This window comes from Homo sapiens, chromosome 18 (assembly GCF_000001405.40).
Source record: "Homo sapiens chromosome 18, GRCh38.p14 Primary Assembly".
NCBI classification, from domain to species: Eukaryota; Metazoa; Chordata; class Mammalia; order Primates; family Hominidae; genus Homo; species Homo sapiens.
The window spans coordinates 29,331,656-29,358,539 of NC_000018.10; the positions used below are offsets into that span (position 1 = coordinate 29,331,656).

Here is a 26,884-nt window from a genome sequence, read left to right on the forward strand (position 1 = left end):
AAATTCTTGGGAAATTATTATTGAAGCAATTTTGACTTATGAATAATATTAATTAAAAATTTCATCTCATTGCAGTGAAGGTTTTACATTCTTGTTTGGAACTATAAGGAGAAAGTGAATGCAGTATATTATTTAATTGGCCCAGTTTGTTATATATTTCTTTCAATATTAGCTTATGTTACACTGGGAAAAAAATTTTTTCTTTCTGTGAAAAGAAGAAATTTCCACAAGTAAAGGTTTTAATTTAGTCACAATTTGCCTGTGTGTATGTGTGTTCTGTTTTGGAAATGACTATTTACAAAATCTAAATTCTTCAAATTTAAACATTCCCTTTGCCTTACCATATCTTGTTATCTTGATCGATGTCACATAGAAAAAAATCTATATCATTTTTTTTCTCTCTTCACAAGCCAATTAAAGAGGTTGGAAGGAAGGAAGCTACCCAAAAGTCTTTTTCCATAACTTACTGAGGTAATTAAATTTAATCTGGTTGTTCCTCCAAATTTTCTTGAACCTCTTCTCTGATATTCCTTTAAAATCAAAGAAGAAAAGAACAACATTTTTGTATGATTTATACTTTTTTAATCTGGTTGTTCCTCCAAATTTTCTTGAACCTCTTCTCTGATATTCCCTTAAAATCAAACAAGAAAAGAACAACATTTTTGTATGATTTATACTTTTCCATTTTGCGTAATTTTTTCAGGTAATTTGCATCTTACCGCCTAGTCAGTAGCCCATCTTGCCCTCTCTCTCATATCTTTCCTGACATGAAAAAGGGTAAGATAGGCTAGTGAGTAGGTGTTAAGTAAGATAATACGTTAGTAAGAGAGCTCAAACTCATAGTGTAGCAAAGAAGGTTTAAAAATTGCCTCAAGAAATTGTCCAAAAGTGAAAGGCATAAATCATACAAAAAGTTTGTCTGATTCCTATGTAAGAAATTAGAAATGAACAATGAAAGGAGAAACCAAGACATTTTCTTTACTGGGGTATTATACCAGTTGACTCACCAACCAAAAAACAACAAAACACAATTTAATAGAAAAACAAAAGAAAACAGATTCTCGCAAATCATATAAAGTGTAATCAGAGTGGGAATTACTTAGAAATAAACACTATGAAAGCTTAACTTAGAAATTCATGTGGGATTTAAGGAGAAAATTTATTAGGGAGAAAAAGCATCAATAAACTAGGCATTCAACTCAAGATGTTAAAAACAAACACACAAAACATACAAGATGCTAGAAAACAAACATACAAAAAGAATGATATAAAGCCATCCTAAATACAAAGGTTTAATTTACATTAAAGTAAATATAGATTTTGAAAAGACTGATAAAATAGGCAAAACTTTGAAAACATGGTAGTAAAGAGAAAGTAGCAACAAGTGAACAAAAATAATATTATGAATGAGAAAGAAACCATAGTTACGGGCCTTTAATAAGTCACTTAAGGAGCAAGTATTAAGCAACAACTGTGCACCAGACATTACTGTATGCTCTAGGATTATAGACATAACAAAACAGAAAAATAAAATCCCTCCCTTAGTGGAATTATCAAGCATGGAGAGAAAGACAATAGGCCAATAAGTAAGATGAATTATTAAACTATATATCAGACAGTAAGAAGTAGTATGGAGAAAAAGGTAGTAAGAAAGGCAGTTGCAAGTTTTTAGATAGAGTGGTAAGGAAAGATCTTCTTGAAAATTAAAATTGAGTAAAGATCGGAAGGACGAGCATGAGTAAAACATACACATATCTAGGGGAGTACATTTTAGGCAAATGAAACAGCTCCTTGAAGTAGTAGTATACTTATTGTGTTCAGGAAAAGCAGAGAGTCCTAGAGAGAAATTGAGCAGGGGATGGTAGGTAGTAGAAAATGATATGTGGAAGATTATGAAAGGTAAGGGATTTGAGAATGGGGGTTTCAAGAGCTTCATTTAGGATATGTTTCTATTGAAATGCCTATTAGTCCTCCAAATGTAAATTTTGTGAATATGCGTTTGGATGTAGTAGTTTGGAGTTCAGGAGAGATGATGTCTGTGCTGGAGACATTAATTCAGGATTCAATGGCATGTATATGGTATTGAGATTGCCAAAGGAGAAGGTGTAGGCAAATAGTCCTAAAGTCCTGGTCACTCCAACAAGTAGAAAAGGGTCAAAGAAAGGAATCACCCCTAATACATAATTAGCAGGAGTGACCAGTGTGTTAGGAGGAAAACTAAGTGAATATGTTGCCTAGGAGGTCAAGTGAAGTTATATCCAATATAGCTGAGAGAAATGTCTCTTGGTTTTATATATTCTTGATACATATATAATTAGATGGCTCAAAATCATGAGAAAAACAGTGATAACACTTAACTGAGAGGGTCTTTGAAAAAACAAACAAAAACCCAACTTACAAACTTCCCTGAAATTTAGTTTTAGTTTCTTTAAAAAATTAAGAAAAATCTTTACAAAAGTGTGTGGTGATTGAGTAACAAAAATCTGATAGAAAAGGATTCAAATGAGAATTGAGGATAAAACTAGAAAACGATAATGTAAAGACAAATTTAAAAATATTTTTGCTATAAAATAAAGAAAAAAATGTGTTGGTACCTGGGGGGGTGATATTTACTCTAGATAGGATTTTTTTAAGGTAGCTAAAATAATACCATTTTTGTATGTTAATGGCAAGTATAGTCAGGCAGGGAATTGATACTGGAGGAGAGAGGGAGAATTTTTTAATAACCTTAAATCGGTAAGAGGGACTGGGATCTAGGACACACAAGTAATCCATAATAACAGGATAAAAGATAGAGTCTGTAGGCTCAGAGGCAGATAAATGTATAAATATAGTGATGGGAGGATGTAGAAGCTCCATTTTCATTGCATTTTCTATGAGAAATAAAAATAGAAGTCAGTCTCTACAAAAATTATGAATGTAGTAGAGACATAAATGAGAAGTGTGTAAGTATCAAAGGACTAAAGTGATAATGTAGTCTTGCCATGTCTACTTAAAGTGTCTGAGCAGAAATTTAGTATGCAAATAACCAGCAAAATTGTGTGTCTTTGTGCAGCCACATTCAACTTTGTGAGAGACAAAAAATAGTAAGTAAAAAGTAGAAATAACCGATGTTTGACTTACGTAAGTGAATAAAAGAGAGTAAAAAAGAGACAGTAGTGATACACAAAATACTTAATAATAATTGAGTATGGAAAATAAATTAGAAAAAATAATAAATAATTATGTTAATGTAGTGAGATTCAGTGAAAATTTGGCAGATTCAACAGATTGAAGATGTTACAGGGTTGGATGATTTATGGATATAGAATACCAAAGGAAGAAAATTGAAAATATAAAAAACCAGTAATTGGAGGGTAGAATGTTTGAAATTAAAATGATTAAAGCATTTTATTAATAGTTAATAATAAAGCAAAGGGCATCATAATGGAAAAAATTTAGAAAATATAGAAGAGATACTAAATATAAGATAATGATACATACAATTTTAAAAATATATTTGTAAATATAGAAGTTGGTTGAATTTCTAAGAACACAAACACATGGATTCCAAAATATGGAAAACCTATATCATTAATTTCACTGAGAAATAAGTAATTGACAAGGTAATCAAAGATCAAAAAAGAAAAAGCCATGTCTTGAACATTTCATGTGTGTTTCTAACTAACCTTCAAAATAAATGTCCATCAATAGAGAATGGTTAAATACATTAAGGTATATCTATACTAGAAACAATATTCAGCCATGAAAAGAATAAGGTAAGTTTGTATGACTCGAAATATAAACTAAAAAAAAAAAATGTTTTTTTTTCTTTTTTTTTTTTTAGTACACGTGGGCTCAGAGATAGGTAAGTGTAGAAATATAGTGGTGGGACTATGTAGAAATTCCATTTTGGTTACATTTTCTGAGAAATAAGAATATAAGTCAGTCTATCAGCAGAGTGTATGGATGAAGTAAAGACAGAAAATAATTGACTAGAATAGTAGAAATGTCAAAGGACTAAGGAGATAAAGTATGCTTGCCATGTCCACTTATACTCTCTGAACAATGCAATACAGTATAATTTGTTATTTTGTTTGTTTAAATAATATATAGATATAAGAATGGCTCTTTTAAGAGAATACACAAACTAATGAAGTTAGATATTCTCTTCAGTATGAATTTAAAGTCAAGGATAAAAGAAGATTCATTTTTCAATGCAAACACCTCTGATTTTCTTTATGAAATGTGTGCATATTCATTTTCATGATAGACTTTAGTAAGTCTAAAAATGTCACCATATATTCTTGGTGTATATAAGTAGATACCTCAAAATCATGAGAAAGACAGTGATGGTAACATTGAACTGAGAGGATCTTTGAAAAACCTAAAAACTTACAAACTTCCTTGAAATGTAATTTTAGTTTCTTAAATAATTTGAGATACGTAATTCTGTAAAAAAAGATTCATCACTCTACAATAAGTTGTCTTTACAAATATTATTGCTATAAATTAAAATTTTCCTTTACTTCTGAAGTACTTACTATTTTTATGTAAAAACAATGGAAGCAATTCGGCAGAATGGCAGTGATTAACATAATAAAAAATTTAGAAATTTTTCATAGTTACTTTCAGGCATTTAGACACTTTTACCTACAACTTCAAGCTTCCTATAGCTTTCTATCTTCATTTAAATTAGTATTTTTGTATTAGTTTCCATAGTCATTTAAATTTAATTTTTGATACTTGATTAGTTCCTCCTTCAGTTTTCAATCTTTTCTTCCCACAGGTAATTTGTGTTCATTAACTACAAGATTTTTTAATATATGAAAGGAAAGGCTGCCATTTCTGTTACTGCTTTCTTCAGATCAGAAATAACCGTGTGTGTGTGTGTGTATGTGTGTGTTGCACATATATGCGTTATGTTTTCTGGTAGAACAAATAGAAATAATGTCTGCGTACAGTGCTTGTATGTGATATATAAAATAAAAGTTTGTCAATCTTGATATTAGCTTCAAAATTAAATTCTTAGATGGCCAGAATCATATTTTAAGTTTTTAAGGATTTTAAAAATACTGGCAATTTTGGCTTTGAATATTCTACAAAACAACCATGAAAAAAATCCATGAATAATGTTTAGTTTTTGAGAAATTATATACTTAATGGTGGTGTGATTATCATATTTTTGTATTATATAGTTATATATATTACCTATAGAATAAAAAATATAAAACTAAATGAGTAAACTGGAAGTTTGAAGGAATGTTTTAAATGTACAACTAGGGGATTTTAGAGAATTAGCCTTTCTCTTTCAAAGCTCATAGTGCCTGGATATATTGGTCACTAGTTACATAACAATTAGAGGTTCCCACTTCTCAGCTCTTGGATATCATGTACCTGGAGCACAGTCTACCTTGGCACCCTAATTTATCAAATCAGCTAGACAATTTAAAAATCCCCTGAAAATGTTTCTAGCCCTGGAACATCAAAGTAGCTTGGCTTTCTATTCAGTGACTGCATCCTCTTCCTCTAAAGCAGTCTACTCCCACAGTGGTGTTCTGAACACAATTCACAAGAAATGTATTTTCTTTGGAAACAACCTGTTTTTCCATCTTTCTCATGCCTTCTTTTCCTACAAACCTCCTTTGAAAAAAATCTCAATTTATTTTTTTGAATTTTTGCACTCGATATTTTTTCTCATTCTAAGAACTATGGTGATACATTTCAAGTAAAGATAAAAAGTATCTTAATTTCTCATCATTTTTTTCTGTGGCCTGGTGCTGTTATAAAAGTAAAATATTAAATTCTATTGTCTAATGTGTTAAAACATAGAGTTTATACTCTCATTTAGGGCTTTTAATAATACTGAATAATTATTGTGCTTGTTCCTGATGGTGTTGTTGAAATGCATTTTACATTTAACAGTCTCACTAAATTTCTTAACATCATCATCTACATTTATTTCTAGCAAATGCTCTTCCTGCTTAGGAGAGAAAGAGTTGACAGGCTTTGAGTTAATTTCTTACCTTCACTCATTCATTCATTTAACTTAAGGGCTTAATCTGCCCTCTGAAAGATATCATGTTTTACATTGGAGAAACAAGAATAGATTATGACTTCTCCCTTAAGGGATTCAGAAATGGATAGAAAACAAATATATCAGCAATATGTGCATCAAGGTAGGTACCGTGAAGGCATATGTAATACATATTGGACAGAACCGGACACAAAGTAATTTTGATAGGAAAGACTACATAGATTATAAATACATATTGACATACATATTGGAAAGAATATTCCAAGAAAAGGCATCAGTATGTAAAAATTGTGCAAGTGTTAAAGTGATATAGGGTTCGAGGAACTATAGGCACTTGTTTGTGATGGAATCACAGAATAACATTTTCAACAAGTAATTAAAAGAATTAATTGAGAAACAGTATGATGTGGCTGAGAATGTGAAAAGTTGGAACAGTAATAGCAGTTTGAGGATGTTTACAACAGTTCAAGGAATAAATGATGATGTCTAAAATGAGACAAGGGCACTGGAAAGAGAAAGGAGTTATACTAGATACTGAGGAGCTAGAAATGGAGAAATTTGGTGGCTATCTGAACAGAGCCATTGAGGAAGAGGAATGGGTCAATATTGTTGTTGGTGTCTGAGAACTGAAGTATAGGAAGGAAAGCCAATTTTTGAAGAAAAGATTTTGAGCTCTGTTTTGCCCATATTGATTTTAGGTACATTTTAAACACTCACAAGGAGACATACTCATTTGAATGCCACATGCTTCTAAATATAACAGGAGGCTTTTTCCCCTCAAAAAAATATATCCAAGTAAAGAAGGAGTATCTTGGATTTGAATCCCTACTACAGCTCTCATATTATGAGGATGTTGGGTTTTTTTTTTTCAATTACTTTATTTGGAGCATCAAAGCATTGTTGAGAGAAGACACATTAACTGAAGCCTGAAATAACTTCAATCAATGCTAATTTGGGATATTCATAGAGGTCACCAATAGAAAAGCAAAACAAGAAGCAAAGAAAATTAACAAGTAGGCATTATTTCTGGGAGTGTGACCTCACAGGTTTAAAGGCTGCATGTCATTTTAAACAAGATCATTAAATAATTTAAAGAAGCAATAGAGAAAATGGGTAGGTAGCAGAGATCATAAAGACACTCCATGAAAAGCGTAAATACAACATATTCTAATGTTGTACAAATGACTTACTGTGGCTTTGAACAAAATTTACAGTGACAGCAAAATTCATGGATTCAACATTGACTACCTCTCATGTAACATAACGTAGATGCTCATGAAGATGATATCTATAAAAATCTGTGTTACATAAATCTAAAAAGTCACCCTAATAAAATTAGAGTCTGATGTCGAAAATTAAAGTTTGAATAGAATGGTTTCATTATTATTTTATATAATATGTGGTTTTAAATATGTATGTATAAGTAAATTAAATATTATGATTAGACTTTTGAATATTTAATCTGCAGTCTGAGAGTACATATTTAAAATTTCCTTTAGGAATTTAGATTACTTTATATTTGTGTTTACCTTATCTTTCAGCGTTCATGTTAAATGGATCTAGAGCTCCCAATAGCAGTGTGTAGCTTATAGATGCCAAATAAGGATTTGAAGCACATACTATATGCATTGAATTATCAGCCTTTACCTTTCTATGGTACAATTTTTACCCTACCAGGTATGTTCAGTTTATGCAATTGTATTATTTCAAGTAATTACTTTCCTTTCAGTTTTTTTACTAGAACTCTAACTTAGCCCCCAAGCCAGATAATAGAGCTAGAGCCCAGCTTCTTAGCACTTTATCACCTTCTGATCAGGGTATTATATTGAAAGCCATAATATTTCCAGCTCCTAACTGGTGTTCTGCTCTAAATTAGATGTGTCCCTTCTGGATTCAAATGCAAACATAGGCAATGGCTAGAGACAACTGCTGCTGTGCTACATCCACTAATTAAATCTCTCCAGGTATTGGGGTGGTCATTGAGGCTGCATAATAAACGAGAAGTTTAAAGTGTTGTGGACAACCATCCGGCAATCACAGTGGGGAGGCAGGTGACATTATGAAAGTACAAGCAGAGAGACAGAAAGAAACCAGGTTTATGAACAATATTTTAAAATCTTCACTCAAAATCCTAAGGTCTGCTTAAGTTCTTGCTATATGTCAATGAAAATCTTTTATTATTTAAGCTATTTTGTGTGTGATTTCTTTTATATGCAACCCAATTTAACTTCATTAATATTTAATCTCGTATATTTTTCTTAAATATGGTAATTTCCCCTTTCCCATTCCAAAGGTGTTCTCTCTGAACTTAGTTTTCCTATATTCAACCCACCGCTCAGCTGAACTTTTACAGGTATTGTTATAACACCCATTGGCTCTAGCTTCTCTGAGTAGTGGGTCTAAAGTTCTTGTCATGACATTGAAGGCCTCTATAACCTAGTTCCTTTTAAATTCCCAGACACATTTCCAGACACTCCCTGTAACACTATGGTTCCCCAAGTCCTTTTTTTCCCACAATTTGTAGTTTACACATGTTAACCTCTGTATCAGATTTGTCTCTTGTCTAATTCTCCAATGAACCTTCTACTCATCTTTCAATACTCAGCTCAAATTTCAGTTACACTAGGAACCTTGTTTCCTCATGTAGAGAAAATTGCTCCTCTCACTGTGTTTCCATTGCACTCTTGGATATTTCATGACTGATTAAGTAATGTCTTTTATCAATACATATGTATTAGATTATAAGATCTTTGATGACAGAAATTTTATTTTATTCATCTTTTTTTTTTAGGAATCTAGCCCAGTACTTGGCAGATATCCATGCGCAGCAAACACAGAATAAATGCTAGAATGACAAAAGGCAGGAAGAAAAGAAGCAAAAAAAAGAGCTTTCATGGAACAATTAAAATCTGAGCGTAGAAGACAGTGTTTACAAGTAAGGAGTATAGTCGGTACAAATCGTAGATGACTCCAATTTAAGAGAGGATTAATAAAATCTGTTAATGTTTCTCCACTAGGAATCACAAATAATTCATTATTTCATCTATTTCTTGATAACTAGTAGAATGCACCTTATTCATCTGAAGGTTATAAAAAGCAATTCAGTTTTAGTGTAAAGGCCAAAGTATAAAGAAAACCCAAATATATTATTTTAAAAAGCCAATTGAATCAAACAACATTTTCTTAACAATGCAGCAGAAAACACAAGTGTACAGACTAGCATAGGATTAATGTAGATACACTGACAGAAGGTGCTTTCTAATGGTGACCATGAGATTTTTCAGGAATCAGTCTATAAAATTATGAAGACTATTTTGTCATAGAAAAAAGAATGCTTTTTCTAGGGTATAGTTATTTATAAGTATATTTTAAAATCAATTATAAAATCACTTTCAGAAATCAATATCACTTTCTCATTGTAGGGACTGGATATTTCTTTGGGTAATTTCATGCTTTTTATCTTTAATCTTAGGTCCTAAAATGCTCCAGTGCCATTTTAAAATAATTTGATATTTCTAATTTGGGGGTACTCTTAAGCATTCAAAAGGACAGTTGGATTGATGAAGATCTTTTCCTGATAGAGAAAGCTAGTATTCAAAATAGAATAATTAGAAAATCTATCAAGAGTCTGACAGGAGCTGTTTAACTTCATATTATTGGCTAAGAGCACATCCATTTTATTCAGTTTGGGAATAATCTCTCTTCTAGGTAGTTAAAACCCAGTGTGGCTAGAACTGCATAACTGAGCAATATTTAATCTCCTAAAGTCAATAACACTTGAAATTACAAAAGTATATTCAGTTAAAATGAGTTCTTATAAAGATTAATTATAATAAAGGTCCAAAGGATATACTGCCTTCTGTAATTTCTATTTTGATTAATGGCATTATTTTCTAAAGAGTCAACCAAGCCAGAAAATAAAGTTATCCTAAATTTCTCCCTCTCACATTATTTCTACTTCCCAATTAAGTTTCCACTCTCTGCATTCAACACCTTTATGTTTTTACTGTCACTCTGCTAAATTTCTAAATTGTTTTCCCATAGTCATTCTTGTTCCTTGCAAGCTGTTTTCTGTATGTGACTTTCAGACATCCTCACTTCCTCAGTGGGTCAAACATGAACTATGTTCACACATCCCATATGCTCCTTCCTCAAACTTTTCTGTCTAATTAAATGGTAACTCAATTTTTCCAATTTCTTAGTTCAAAAAAACTCTTTCTCTCATAACGTAGCAAATCTATCAGTACATCATATAGGCTCAACTTCTTAAATGTATCCAGAATTACCCATTTATCATGATCTTGTTCCACTGGTAGCTGATATTCTTATGCAACCCATCCTTATCTATTGCCTGATTTGCTGGCATAGCCCTCTAACTATCCTATCTGCTTCTATGCTTGCTCCATTGCAGTCTATTCTGCATATACTTTCTAGAAATTAAAAAAAAGAAATAACTCAGATCATGTCTCTCTCTGCTCTAAATTTCTGCTAGTTTTCCATATAATTTTTCCCTGGCTATTTTGATGAACTTATCTCCTATTACACTTCTTCTTACTCCCTTCATTTCAGCCACTTTAGCTTCTTTGCCATTTCTTTGTACATGCCACACATTTTAGCGCCTTGGGGCTTTACATGCAGTATCTCTTTAGCCTAGAACACTCTTCCCTCAGAAAACCACTTGTCTCCTCAAATAATTTTTGTCTGCACTCAAATATCACTTTATCAGAAAAATCCTCCCTAGCCACTTTTTCTATCCCTTATACACATTTTCTATCCCCTTATACTTTTTAATTTGTATTTGTAGTACTTATAACTACCTGATATTTATTTATTTGGAGACCAATAATTAAGTTCCAATGTTAAATAGTAAAGGTCTAACGTGCAAAAGCTGGAAGAAGTAGCCATCCCCTCAAATGTGCAGATATCAATGTAAGGAATCAATGATTGCGAAAAATTAGGGAAATATGACATTACCAAAAAAAACACATAGAGCTTTAGTAATAGTCCCAAAAGAATTGATGAGTTATGAAATGTCTGGCAAATAATTCAGAATAATTATCTTGAAGAAGCTTAACAAATCACCAAAAGTTATCCTTAGAAAATTAAATAAAATTAGAAAATAATCCAGGAATAAAATGAGAAATTTGACAAAGAAATATAAACAATTAAAAATAAAAATCCTAGAAATAAAGAATGCAGTAGCTGGACTGAAAAACTTACTGAAAATCTTTACCAGCAAACTTGATCAAACATTGAAAAGAATGTTCTTTAGACAGAACATATGACATTACTCAATCAGAGGAGCAAAAAGATTTAAAAAGTACAAATGCTTTTATTATTGCAACAAGTAAATGTCTAGAGGCACAAAACTCAGTGGTAAAAGCAAATATACAGAAAAATTCAAAATAATCTAATGCAGTAATCAAGGTATATAAACCACTTATCTATCTTTTGTATGAAGACTAAAAACTATATTAAAAAATAATAACTACAATAACTGGTTAAGCGATAAGCACTATCAAATGGATGTAAATTTTAATATCCAAAAGTCAAAATGTGAGAATGGGGGATATTGTTAGTGTATAGTTTGTTTTTGTTTCTTTTCCATCCTTTGCAATTAAAGTTAAGTTGTTATCAGTTTAAAATAACCTGTTACTATAAGATAGTTTTTGTAAGCCTCATGCTAACCACAAAGCAAAAGCCTATAATAGATACACTAAAAATAAAGAGCACAGGGTCAAAGCAAACTATAAGAGAAAAGCTCCTAACTACAAAGGAAACCAATAAGAGAGGGACAAAAAAGAAGAAATGATGTACAAAACAACCAGAAAACAATAACAAAATGGTAGTTGTAAGTCCTTACCTATTAATAATAACTTTAAAGGTTAATGGATTAATTCCCCAGTAATAAAAAGTCCTTTATCAAAAAAACAAACAAACAAACAAACGGAAAACCAGGCCCTGATGGCTTTACTGTTGAATTCTAACAAACATTTAAATAAAAACTAATACCAACTCTCCACAAACTCTTCCAGGAAATTAAAGAGGGAAAATTATTTCCAAACGCAATTTACAAGGCAATCATTACTCTGATTCCAAACAATACAAAGACAACAAAGTAAGAAAACTATAGGCCAATATCCCTGATGAAGATAGATGAAAAAATTCTCAAAGAAATAGTAGCAAACTGAATTCAGTAGCATATCAATAACATCACTTATTATAATTGAGATTCATTCCCGGAATGCAAGGATGGCTCATCATATACAAATGCATAAATGTGAGACATCATATTAATAAAAAGAAAGTGAAAAACCATATGATTATTTCAATAGTTGCAGATGAAGCATTTGACAAAATTTAACATCTGTTCATGATTAAAAAAAAGAAACCTCCACAAATTAGGCATAGAAGATGTGTACCTTAACACAATAAAGTTAAAATCCATATATGACAAACCCACACACAGCTAATATAATATGAATGGAAACAAGCTGAAAACTTTTCCTCTAACATGAGAAGCAAGAAGAGAATGCCCATTCTCACCACTTCTGTTCAATATAGCTCTAGAAGTCCTAGCCAGAACAATTAGGCAAGAAAAAGAAATAAAACTTACACAAATTGAGAAAAATGGCTAAATTTGTTTCTGTTTGTAGATGACATAATCATATATATGATATACCAATACTCCACCAAGAAAAAAAACACTGTTTGAGCTAATAAATAAATTCAGTAAAGTTGCAGGATACAATATCAACATAGAAAAATCAATAGCATTTCAACACACTAACAGCAAACTCTCCAAAAAACAAAATAAGAAAACAATATCATTTACCATAGGATCAAAATGAATAAAATACTTAGGAATAAATTTAATCAAGAAGGTGAAAAATCTCTACAATGAAAACAATAAAACATTGATGAAAGAAATTGGAGAAGATACAAATAAATGAAAAGATAATCTTGATAATGAATTAAAAGAATTAATATTGTTAAAATGTTCATATTTCCCAAAGTGATGTACACATTAAATGCAATCTCTATCAAAATGCCAATGACATTCTTCACAGACACAGAAAAAAAAATCCTATAATTTGCATGGAACCCCAAAATACCTTGGATTAGCAAAAAAAAAAAAATTAAAAAATAAAATAAAAAAAAACTTGAGCAAAAAGAAGAAAGCTGGAGATATAACACAGTCTGACTTCACGGTATTCTGTAAAGCTGTAATAACCAAAAGTAGCATGATATGGCATAAAAACAGACATTCAGACCAATGGAACAGAAAGCCCAGAAACAAATTCACACATTTACTGCCAACTGATTTTCAGCAAAACTCTGCTAAGAATGTACAATGATGAAGGGAAATGCGTAGTTAGTGTTTAATAGGTGTGAAATTTCAGTTTGGAAAGTTGAAAAACAGTTCTGAAAATGGATTATGGTAATGGTTGCAGAATAATGTGAATGTCAGAACATTACATTTAAAAATGATGAAAATCACAGACTTTATGTATCTTTCACCACATACACAACATGATTGCTTAGGGTACCATTCACTGAGAAGGTGACAAACAAATATTTGATAAAGATGAGGCACCTAGGCCTTTTGATATCCCACAAGAAAGAAAGCCTATGTTACTAGAGTAGATTAAAAACAAGTGAAGTAAGTAATGAAGTCAGATAAGTAATGGTATGAAGGGGACAGATTGAGACAGACTTGAAAGCTGAGAACTGAAAATAGACATTGGATTTAGCAATATACTGTTCTCTGTAGTTAGTACTAATTAGAAAAGGGTAGTTTTCGTGGCTGATGTGCTGAAAATGTATATTGAGAAGGAATACAAAAGAATTGGAGGAAAGCATATCCTAAAATATTAAATACAATGAGAGTCACACATTTTTGAGTTAAAATAATCCCTTCCATCTAATCTAGTATCCCTTCTTAAGAGAAAGAATGAAAGAGGACTTTTGTAACAGAGCAAAGAGGGTTTATAGATTTGTCTAAGGTTTTGCAACATATTCTGTGCAATGAATAGTCATTTTCTCACTCTAACATAGAATTTATTGAGTCAGTTTTCACACAGCTTCTCATTTACTCAGAGTCTTAGGCAACATTTTTTTAGATCCTCAAATTGAATCCAAAAGCTTTTATTCTTTGTGGTTGAGGATTAATATAATAATTAAGGAAAGGTTTTGACTTTGTATTTTAAAGGTACAACCAAACCATCATGAGTCTTAGTTCACATTTATTAAAAATTTCTCGTTCTTTTTCTCAACTCTAAGTAAATTAAATGAAATGGCCTCCAAGGTTATTGTCATATGTAGACTATTCAACTGTAGGGTATTGAACTATATAATCTACTTTCATCCCATTAGAGCTGTATCACTCTTAGTCTTCTGTCTAATTGTGAGTAGACAATCAGATACAAATGGTTTTCAAACGGATTTACTATAAAACACTAGTGGAGGAAAATGTCAGGATCTTAGCTGTTTTTTATTTGAAGTGTAAACTATTAACTATTCTAAAAATCCCTTAATTTGAGTATCCTCCACTGAGATCATAAAGTTTGGGGTGATAACATTGGCATAAATCAGTACCTTTTCAAATATAAAAGACAAACCTGATAATTAGGAACCTTTACATTTTTTCCTATGCAATTTATTACACTTACCCTATTTAAAGTTAGTTTTTAAATCAAGTGTATACCTGGATTAAGACAGTAATGTCCTAATTGGTCTCTTTGACTCTAGATTCGCCTATCTCCATTATAGGGTACACACTACTGTATGATTAATCTTATTAAATCACAGTTCCCAGTGAATCACTTCTTGCTTTAAAAATAGGGCTTATTAACTAAATATTTGCTTTATTGAATTAAGGATGTAAATGTGTGTGTATGACAAAAATGGTTACCTGTTTTTACTGCACTAACATGATACATTTTTACTAAAATTGTAACAATGTCCGTAAATAACTCATTTTACAAATAACTATTTTTTAATTTATTTTCTTTTCCCCAAGTGATAAATTTCTTGTTGCTATTACAAAGGGTCCACAATGGTTAAAGTTTGCATATTCAAGGCCTAGAGAATGATCTCTGGAAGATGCGCGACTGTATAAAAATTTATTTGAAATAACTGTTAAGATTTTATTATAAATATATGTGTGTGTATGTGAGTTTATGTTTGTGTATATACACATATATATCTTAAAGTCAAATAACCAGACATGCATGTGTGTGTGTTTGTGTGTGTGTGTGTGTGTATGTATGACTATTCTAACCTTTGTCATAAAATCAAGTTTGTCTCAAAAGGCAACCAGAGCTTCATTTTCAGCCATGGTACTTACACTATCATGTAAAATGAAGCTGGAAACAAAGGGATAATTGAAAAATGAATATAAAAATCTATAAAACAGGCCAGGCGTGATGGCTTACACCTGTAATCCCAGAACTTTGGGAGACTGAGGATCACCTGAGGTTAGGAGTTCGAGACCACCCTGGCCAATATGGTGAAACCCCATCTCTACTAAAAATACAAAAATTAGCTGGGCTTAGTGGCGTGTGCCTGTAATCCCAGCTACCCAGGAGGCTGAGGCAGGATAATCGCTGGAACCTGGGAGGCAGACGCTGCAGTGTGCCGAGATAGCTCCACTGCACTCTTGGGGGAGATAGAGTGAGACTCTGTCTCAAAAAAAAAAATTATAAAACAACTATTTTTATATATCAGATATCATGCAAAGTTATAGTCTGATCACTTGGAGAGTTACAGAAAACAAGCAAATAAGTGGATTATTGCACTGGCTCTGGCTTTCTGCCAGGAGGTTCTTTCCTGAATGGGGAAGCAGATCAGCAGCAGAATATTGCAGTCTTGTGGAAGTAAAGAAATAGGTATCAGACTTTGAGCTGATGGATATAGCTGGAACTAGTGAGGCAGGTGTTAGAGAGAAGGGAGCAACAACAACAACAAAAAAACAGTTTCAGATATCTGAATAGGAATCTCTGAGAATCTTTAGCTAAATATTAATCTGTATTTGTATAGATTAAAAAATCATAAGACCAAAACAAATTAACAACTGTTGGGAAACTATAGAATGAACATTTCTCAGAGCAACGCAAGGCTGAGAGGCATTTGAATTTCATTAGCCCAGAATACAGAAGCTTATTTTAATACTTTGGAAAATCCGTGGATACCACAAAGGGTCATATCTTAGTAATCAGGCTATTTAGTAATACCTAAAAGAGTTTTCTTATTTTTATTTTTTTAGACAGGGTCTTGTTCTGTCACCCGGGCTGAAGCATAAGTAGCATGATCACAGCTCACTGCAGTCTCAAATCCCCGGACTCAAAGGGTCTTCCCCACTGAGTAGCTGGGACCAAAAGTGGGTGCCACCACAACTGGATCATTTTTTTTTTCTTTATAGAGACCAGGTGTCCCTATGTTGCCCAGGCTAAAGAGTTTAAAATTATGCATTGAATCAGTCTGCTCTGCAAGTAACATAACTACCTGCCAAATAAATTAAGCATTCTTTAAAGAAAGAAAACTAAATCATAACATTCAACAACATAACAATGTTCTGCAACAAATAAAAATTTACTAGAAACATGTATTAGTTTTCTCTTGTTGCCATAAGAAATTATCACTAATTTAGTGGCTTGAAGTATACAAATACATTACCTTGCAGTGTAGTAGGTCACAAGATTAGTAAGGGTCTCACTAGATTGAAATCAAGGTGTTGACAGGCTGCATTCTTTTCTGGAGGAGCTAAGGGAGAATTGGTTGCTGGTTTATTGGGGTTATTAGCCAAATTTAGTTTCTGGTGATTTTAGGACTGAGGTCTCTATCGGCCTTATTTACAGTTTTGCAAGCTGTAGAAATCAAGGCTCATTCACAGCTTCCAGAAACTATAGGGTTCCTGGTACATGGCTTCCTTTTTCCATCTTCAAAGCCAGCAACAGGGGGTGGACTACTTTTCATGTTGCAACTTTCTGACCTCAGCCAGAAAATGATATGCACGTTTAAGAGCTCCTTTAATTAGACTGGCCCACTCAGCTATTCTAGGATAACGTCCTCATCTCAAAGTTTGTATTCTTAATGGCAAAGTATCCTTTACCATGTAAATATTAAAAATATATTCACAGATTCCAGGGATTAGGGCATGAATATCTTTGAAGGGAGTGGCAGCATTATTTGCCCATTATATTATGTGAAAAACCAAAAAATAAAACTCATGTAAGGATGAAAATCAGTCATTAGATATCACTCCAGAAATGGCAGAAATGATTTGATCTCTATGAAATTCACTGACAGACATGGATATATAAAGTCACAAAAATTATAAATATAAGAAATATATACATAAATATTTCTTATATTTATATATTTACAAATATATAATACATATTTCTTTATAATATTTTATATTATATATAAATATAAATATAAGAAAAATATGAAAATAATGGGGGGAGAAATTGAAGATATAAAAAAAGACTAGGTCAAAATAATAAGAACAAATAAATAATACTCAAAAGGAAAAATTTACTCAAATTAACAGCAAGATAAATATCATAGTAGAAAATATTAATGCATTTGAAGACATAGTGACAGAAACTATTCAAACTGAGGCTCAGAGAAGAGGGAAAAAGCTTGAAAAACTGAACAGGATCTCAGTGACTTATGACACAATATCAAGTGGATTTAATATATGTATAATTAGAACCCAAGAAGGAACAAAAAGAAAGGAACGATGAATAGCTAAAGGTTCTCTAAATGAGATGAAAAATATAACCTTACAGATCCATAAAATACTAAAACCCATTCACAATAATAAAAATAATAATGCACCAAGGTAAATCATAAGTAGATTGTTGAAAATCAGAAATAAAGAGAAATTCTTAAAGACAACCATATTCTTCTGTATATACAGAAGAATAAAGATAAGGATTACATAAACTTTTATCAGAATCTATCTTAGTCAAAAAGAAATGGCAAGATCTTTTTAAAGTACCAAAAGCAATTATTATTGGTCTACAATATATATTAAGAAAATTTGCAAAAGAAAAAGGGAGAAAGAATCAAGCAATTGTCCAAATATTTGGAAAATGAATAACAAAGTTCTAAATAAAAAATCTCAAATGTAAAATTCAAGTACCAAGAATAACTCTCAAGAGAAATTAGTAAATATTTTGATTTGAATGGAGAAAAATCTCAAAACCAACATATCTAAATTTGTGAGATGCAACTTAAAACAGTGCTTAGAAGGAAGTCTGTGTCATTGAATACTTACATTAGGAAAGAAGAACTGTTTACAGCCAAGAGCCTAAACTTGCAACTCAGGAAACTAGAAAAAAAAATAACAGGTTAACCCAAAGTAAGCAGGAGGAAAGGAAAAATAAAGGTAAGAATAGAATTCAATATAAAAGAAAAAGGAAAAAATTATGAAAAATCTATGGAAGCATAAATTTGCTCATAGAGAAGATCAATGAAATTTTTCCGAAAAAGAGAGAAAACACAAATCACCAATATTAAGAATGAGAAAGTGGATATTACTACAGGTGCTACCAACTTTAAAGAGTTCACAAAACCTTAATTATTGAAGTAGTCATTAAGAAGACTGTGTATGTAGAAAATCCTAAGAAATCAAAAATAAAGTGCAAGAATTAATAAATTTAGCAAGTTTGCAGGGTACATGGTAAGAATAAAATTACTTTATTTCTATGTTATGAGGCCACACAATTGGGAAAATGCAATTTCAAAAAGTAACATTTACAATAGCACAAAAAACCTGAAATACTTATTAAATGTACCACAATAGGTGTAAAACCTGTAAATTAAAAACTTAAAATATTGCTGAAATTTAAAAGTACCTGCATAAACAGTTAATTATGTAAGTGGATCAGAATAGGTAAATTTAGTATATGTAAATTGTGCTTTAATAGAGCTGTTAATTATAAATAAATATATTTTTTAAATGTCGGCTAGGCTTATGCCTGTAATCCCAGCATTTTGGGAGGACAAGGTGGGTGGATGACTTGAGGTCAGGAGTTTGAGACCAGTGTGGCCAACATGGCAAAATCTGGTCTCTACTAAATAAATACAACAATTAGCTGGGCGTAGGTGGCGCTGGCCTTTAGTCCCAGCTACTTGGGAGGCTGAGGCGGGAGAATCGCTTGAACCCACGAGGCAGAGGTTGCAGTGAGCCAAGATTGCACCATTGCACTCCAACCTGGGCAACAGAGCAAGAATCTCTCTCAAAAAACAAAAACAACAACAACAACAACAACAAAAAACGACAGGCATATCCATAAACATTGCCCAACTGGATATCAAGTAGCCCCATTAGATTGACATAATAAAAGGGCTTGATTAGTCAATTTTGAGTCAGATAACTAATCCAATACATGCACCTCATGAAAAAATGTCTTTCATGTCTGTACTTTCTGGGGTTGAAATTTTAGCAGAATCATTCCAAATGCTAGTAAATGTTTTTTCTCCTTCTCACAGCTAGTAAAATCTTAGAGTACATGGAATTTCAAATGCTATCAAATTGCATCAGTAGTGATGAGATATGCCACTGCGCATTGGGTGGCTACAGCCAGATGCTTTTACTTTATGTCAGGAGGTTGTGCCATGTGGGAATGACCAATTGCTTACCTAGCAGTGCTAGACTGACTGGGTTCTCCCCTTTAACCACTGCTGCATGGCAAGTGAAACCAGCCAAAGCCATGCATTTCTGGCTGCTTTCACAACATCTAGAATTAGATGAAGTGATCTCTTGAGAACAGTATCTGGGTTCAGCAGAAGTTGTTAGAGTCCCTGAAGATAAAACTTGGAAGAAGATAAAAAGAGCAAGGAAGATGTATTATCTCTCTTTCCTCCCTTTTACATGCTTTTGTTCCAAATAACAATTTTTTGTTGTGTCTTTCATACTGCCTGTCTGAGACACCTTGTGTGACCAGGCAACTGCATCTTTGTGGCTCATGATGGAAAACTGGCCAGCAGAGTAGCACACCAATTTATGTTGCTTCTTATGTTTCTCCTCTTTACTTTTTTTTTTTCCTTAATCTTCCTGTCCTGAGATTTAACTGTCCTCCTCCCAAAATTACACAAAAATGAGAAAAATCGGCATTTTTCCTACTTTATTTCTGTTTTCTAGGGATCTGTGTTAAGAAACTAGAACAGCAACAGTTCATGAAATCAATAGTCACCATCTAATTTGGCCTTGGTTTTTATATTCAAGACTTTGCAGACTTGGGAATTGCATATGTAGAGTGTAATTTTATCCATAAAACAGATTTTTGAAAAGGTTTTAGTGCCATCATTATCCTTAAGGTCTCATTATTTTAAACGTCTGTGGATAGATGCAGAATAATCTCCACCTCCCTTCAATGCTCACTCCAAGGATGTTTAAATTTTAATCCTTAAAATCTGTAAATATTTTGTATTTCATAATAAAAAAGGCCTTGTTTATGTGATTAAATTAAGGACATTGAGTTGAAATTCTCCTGTGTTATCCAAGTAGGCCTAATGTAATAAAAAGAGCCTTTAATAGTGAAAGAGTGAGCTGGAAGAGTCAGAGTGATAAACATGAGAGACTCAATAACCACTGCTGGCTTTAAAATGGAAGAGGGCCACAAACAGAGGAATTGGAAAGCCTCTAGAAACTGGAAAAGGCAAGACAATGGGAGCCTAGAGACTCAAGGAGGAACCCAGCCCTGCCTTCAGGACTAGATTTTAGCTCAGTAAGATTCACTTTGTATTTCTGGCATCTAGAAATATAATAAATTTGTATGGTTTCAAGCCACTAAGTTTGTGGTAAGCTGTTATTGCAGCAAGAAGAAATTAATACAGAGGCTTTAGAATTTTTGTCATAGAATATTTACCAATGTAGAAATAATTTTTGTGGGTTTGATTTCTAAAATTTCAACTTTTATTTTAGATATAGAGTGTCCATGTACAGGAATGTAACATGAGTATATTGCATGATGCTGAGGTTTAGGGTACAGATCCTGTCACCCAGATAGTGAGTTTAGTACCCAATAGGTAGCTTTTTAACCCATGCTCCTTCTTCTTCCTCCCCTTTCTAATAGTCCACAATATCTATTCATGTGGAACTCTGAATCAATTAAACTTTTCCTGTCTTTATGCCCATGAGTACCTGGTATTTAGCTTCCACTTATAAATGAGGATATGTGGTATTTGGTTTTCTGTTCCTGTGTTAATTCACCTTCAGCTGTGCTATTGTGAATAATGTTATTGTGAATAACATTGTGATGAACATAGGAATACATGTGTCTTTTGGTAGAACAATCTATTTTCTTTTGGATATTTATCTAGTAATGGGGTTGTTGAGTCACATGGTAGCTCTGATATAAGTTCTTTGAAAAATACCCAAACTGCTTTCCACAGTGGCTGAGCAAATTTACAGTCTCATCAACAGCATATAAATGTTCCCTTTTCTCTGAAGCCACACCAGCATCTGTTATTATTTGACTTTTTAATAATAGCCATTCTGACTGGTGTGAGATTGGAACTCATTGTGATTTTGATTTGCATCTCTCATAGTTAATGATGATGAGCATTTCTTCATGTTTGTTGGCTACTTGTATATCTTCTTTTGAGAAGTGTCTGTTCATGTCTTTTGCTCATTTTTTTAATGAGGTTGTTTTTTGATTACTGATATAAGTTCCTTATAGATTTTGGATAGTGGACCTTTTTTAGATGCATAGTTTGCAACTATTTTCTCTCATTATGTGTGATATCTGTTCACTGTGTAGAAGTCCCTTAGTTTAATTAGCTCTCACTTGTCAATATTTGTTTTTGTTGCAATTGTTTTGGGGACTTACCAACAATTCTTTGCCAAAGCAAATGTCCAGTGGGGTATATCCTAGGTTTTTGTTTAGAAATTGTTATAGTCTGAGTTCTTACATTTGAATCTTTAATCCACCTTGAGTTATTTTTTTTTTATATGGTGAAATGTAGGGGTCAAGTTTCATTCTTCTGCATATGGCTAGCCAGTTATCCCAGCACCATTTATTGAATAGAGAGCACTTTCCCTATTGCTAGTTTTTGTCAGCTTTGTCAAAGATGAAATTGTTGTAGGTGTATGGCTTTCTTTCTGTGTTCCATATTGTATTCCATTGGCCTATGTGTCTGTTTTTGTGCTAGCACAATGCTGTTTTGGTTACTATAGCCTTACAGTATAGTTTAAATTTGAGTAGTGTGATGCCTCTGGCTTTTTTATTTAAGAGTGCCTTGGCTCTTTAGGTTCTTTTTTGGTTCCTCATGAATTTTAGAATAATTTTTCCTAAATCTGTGAAAAATTCCATCAGTAGTTTGATAGAAACAGCATTGAACCTGTAAATTGCTTTGCAGAGTATGGCCATTTTAATGTTATAGATTCTCCCAATCCATAAGCATAGAATTCTTTTTTAAATTTATTTGTGCCATCTCTGATTTTTTCATCAGTGTGTTGTAGTCCTCCTTGTACAGATCTTTTACCTTCTTGGTCAGATGTATCCCTAGGTATTTTATTCATTTTGTGGATATTGTAAATGGGGTTACATTCTTGATTTGGCTCTCAGCTTGAATATTACTCATATATAGAAATGCTACTAATTTTTGTACATTTATTTTCTATCCTGAAACTTCTCTGAAGTCATTTTTCAGTTCAAGAAACCTTTTGGCTGAGTCTTTAGGGATTTTTAGTTATAGAATCAGATTGTCAGTAAAGAGGGGTGGTTTGACTTCTTCTTTTCCTATTTGGGTACTTTTTATTTATTTCTCTCACCTAATTAATCTGACTAGGACTTTCTAGAAATAAATTTTGAATAAGTAGAAATGTGTTTTGAAGGGCGTATAAAAAACTCTTAAAATATTTGAGGATATTTGTCATTCAAAACTCTTCACTTTCAAGATCACATGAACAAACAGGAAACATAGAAGTATTTGTGGGTAAAATGGATTGGCTGTATCTCCACACAAATCTCATCTCAAATTGTAATCCCCATGTGTCGGGAGCCAGGGAGAGACCTGGTGGAAGGTGATTAGATCATGAGGCTGGTCCCTCCATGCTGTTTTCATGATAGTGAGTGAGTTCTCACAAGATCTGGTTGTTTGATAAGTGTTTGGTGCTTCCCCCTTCTCTCTCTGCCTCCTACTGTCATGTAAGACATGCCTTGCTTCCCCTTCACCTTCCACCATGATTGTAAGTTTCCTGAGGCCTCTTCAGCCATGTGGAACTGTGAATCAATTAAACTTTTCTTTATAAATTACCTGGTCTCAAGTAGTATCTTTATAGCAATGTGAAAATGAACTAATACAGGAAATTGGTAACATGGAGAGTGGGGCGCTGCTATAAAGATAACCTGAAAATGTGGAAGTGACTTTGGAACTGGGTAATGGGCAGACGTTGGAATAGTTTTGAAGGGTCAGAAGAAGACAAGATCGTATGGGAAAGTCTGGAATTTCCCAGAGATTTGTTGAATGGTTTTGGCCAAAATGCTGATACTGATATGGACAATGAACTCCAGGCTGAGATGGTCTCAGATGGAGATGAGGAACTTATATTTAAAAGGGTAGCAAAAGATTAGAGTTTGGAAAATTTAAAGACTGACTATGTGGTAAAAAAGAAAACCCCATTTCCTGGGGAGAAATTCGAGCCAGCCTTAGAAATTTGCATAAGTGACAAGGAGCCAAATGTTAATAGCCAAGGCAATGGGGAAAATGTCTCCAGGGAATGTCAGAGACCTTCACGGTAGCCCCTCCCAAGGCCTGGAGGCCTAGAAATGAAAAATGGTTTCATGAGTGGGGCCCAAGACTCCATTACTCTGTGCAGCCTCTGGACATGGCACCCTGTGTCCCAGCAGCTCCAGCTCCAGTGGTAACTAAAAGGAGCCAATTTACAGCTCAGGCCATTGTTTCAAGGGGTACAAGCCCCAAGATTTGGAGGCTTCCACATGGACCTGGGCCAGCAGATGCACAGAGGTCAGGAGTTGAGGCTTGGCAGCCTCCAACTAGATTTCAGAGGATGTATGTATGAAAACGCCTGGATGCCCAGGCAGAGGTCTGTTAATGAGGCAGAAGCCTCACGGAGAACCTCTACTAGGGCAATGCAGGGGGATATGTGGGGTTGCAGCTCCCAAACTGAGTCCCCACTGGGGCACTGCCTAGTGTAGCTGTGAAACGGCTACTGTCCTCCAGATCCCAGAATGGTAAATCCACTGAGAGCTTGCACCATGCACCTAGAAAATCCACAGGCACTCAATGCCAACCTGTGAAAACAGCCACAGAGGCTTTACCCTACAGAGCAGAGCCACAGGGGTGGAGCTGCCAAAGCCCTGGAGAGCCCACCCCTTTCATCAGTGTGCCCTGGATGTGAGACATGAAAGCAAAGAAGATTTTGGAGCTTTAATATAGTAACTGCCCAGCTGGGTTTTGGACTTGCATGGGACCTGTGGTCCCCTTGGTTTTGCCAATTTCTTCTATTTGGAATGGGAACATTTACCCAATGCCTGTACCCTTGTTGTATCTTGGAAGTAACTAACTCGTTTTTGATTTTACAGGCTCATAGGCAGAACAGACTTCCCTTGCCTCAGATGAGACTTTGCACTTGGACTTTTGAGTTAATGCTGGAATAAGTTAAGACTTTGGGGGACTGTTGGGAAGGCATGGTTGTGTTATAAGTAAAGTTTTGGTGCCACAAAAGAAATAGCACTTGAATATAAAATTTTCTTTTTAATTCTCAGCAAGGCAAGGTACTTCTATAGAAGGGTGTGCCCTTACAGATGGAGCAATGGTGAAGCACATACTTGGACAAGGGATGGGAAGGGGGTCTTATCACTGACACACGTGGCCCCTGCTGCTGTGTTGTTCCCTATTGGCTAGGGTTAGGCCGTACAGGATAAACTAATTCCGATTGGCTAATTTAAAGATAGTGATGGGGTGAGTGGTTTGGCGGGAAAAATGGTTATGATAGAGCAGGTAATCGGAATGAGTCAGGGTGGAGTAGGTAATCGGAATGAGTCAGAGTGGAGCAGGTAATCGGAATGAGTCAGGGTAGAGTAGGTAATCAGAATGAGTCAGGGTGGAGCAGGTAATCGGAATGAGTCAGGGTGGGGCAGGTAATCGGAATGGGTCAGGGTGGAGTAGGTAATCAAAAAAGGTTGCTTTACAAGGAAGTTAAGTTTAAAAGTAGAAGGCAAAGAATTGAACATACTGACATACTGATTCTTTGAAAAGAAATTTAGAACTCATATCTAACAACCCCTCCTCTTGCATTTCCTTACAGCTCCTTCTTTTCAAATTTTTTAACATGTCTTGGTTTAGTTGTTCCACTTGATTTTCCAAAAGAAGAAGCTTCTCTGGATAAGGTGGAGGATAGTTAAGGGAGGTTTTAGTAAGTGCCATTGTTATGAGCCTCTGCACCAACCCACGGACGCATGGTGTGACACAGCACCTGACAAGAATAAGTACACCCTTTACGGCTGCGAGGGAAGTAAGAATTGAGGCTATTATTCTCTTCCATTTACCGAACCACTCTTTTAGCCATTCTGTAAAGGGGTCATTTACCCTTGAGTTGTTGGCTAACTCACTGGACAGAGCAGTCAGATCTTGCAATACCTTTGTTATACTTCCATCAGGGGCGCTGTTGTTTGGGATGAAGGTACAACATTGAGTTTTAGTCATGATGCAAACTCCTCCTTTTTTTGCTAATATAATATCTAAGGCTATCCTATTTTCCCAAGCCATCTGGCTAGTAGCCCCTAATTGCTCAGCTGTTCCTTTAACAACATCTCTAGCGTAGTTAATAAATCACTGTTGGTTGTAGTAGACGTAGTTTATCCAATCTACAATTTTATTAATTGTCATCCACCAAAATACTGACTCAAATCCTGCAGCTATTTGATTTTGGGCTTTAAATTATCTGGTATTTCCCGTGGGACTCCATTTGCGTTTAAATAGATATGAGAGTTAAAAGATCCATAAGGGGCTTCTCTCACTTTACAATGTCTTATTTTTTTCTTCCGCTAGTTAATGAAATGCCAGGGTGAAAGAGATAGCCAACTGAACTAAAGCACAAGTGCCAGTTCAGTTATTTGGCATAGTGTGCAGTAAAGTTCCACCACAATGCCACCACACATCCACTCGTGGATGAACACGGGCTGACTGATTGATAAGCTCTTGAAAATTCTTAAGCTCGCTGCATCCCTTCAGGTCTCCAAGGAATGCTGTTTCCTCCCTGTCATGAGAGACATGAAGTGAACTTAGTGTTGGGAGACAGAAGGAGGATGGCCCTTGGGGACTGACCCACAAGGTGCCAGATTTCAGGATATAGCAGAGAGAGAGCTTGGCATGATTTGTTACTTCAGGCTGTAGAATCCTAGAAAAGAGCTACCATGCCCAGTTGACAAGAAGAACCCCCTAGTGGAAAGGGGACAGTCTGGGCCTCTGGCCTGCTGTTTACACAAGCATAACAATTGCTTTTGTTTAACATGCGGATGGAATATTTGATCCATTCCGACCAGGCATTTGCATCTTGGTATCCTGTCTTAATTGCCAAAGTTTGTTTTAAGTCTTTAACTTCTACCGTAGCTATCTTGATCTTAGATGCAAGAGAAGCAATTGTTCCATTGTGAGAGGTTTTGGAAGAAGGCTTAGAGGAAGGTGCAGGTGGCGAGGAATCAAAGAAATGCATATCAAAGAATCCAATGGGGTCTGTCCCTGAAACCTCAGCCCCTATACCATAAAACCGGCTTAAAGGGAACTGGCTTAGAAAATGGGAAGAACTTTGAGGGTTTGAGATAATAACCTGTGTAAGATTGCACTGGTTTAGCTGACAGTTAGGGGGTGGGGCTGTCCCTCTAG

At 34.1% G+C, this 26,884-nt stretch overlaps 1 annotated feature.

The window, feature by feature from the left end:
* Positions 24,596 to 25,795: an enhancer, noted in NCBI's record as "P300/CBP strongly-dependent group 1 enhancer chr18:26936216-26937415 (GRCh37/hg19 assembly coordinates)". NCBI's record gives its function as "activates an origin of replication core promoter dependent on BRD2, BRD4, P300/CBP, MED14 and CDK7 cofactors, with strong dependence on P300/CBP, by STARR-seq in HCT116 cells {active_cell/tissue: HCT116}" and the evidence as "EXISTENCE:reporter gene assay evidence [ECO:0000049][PMID:35650434]".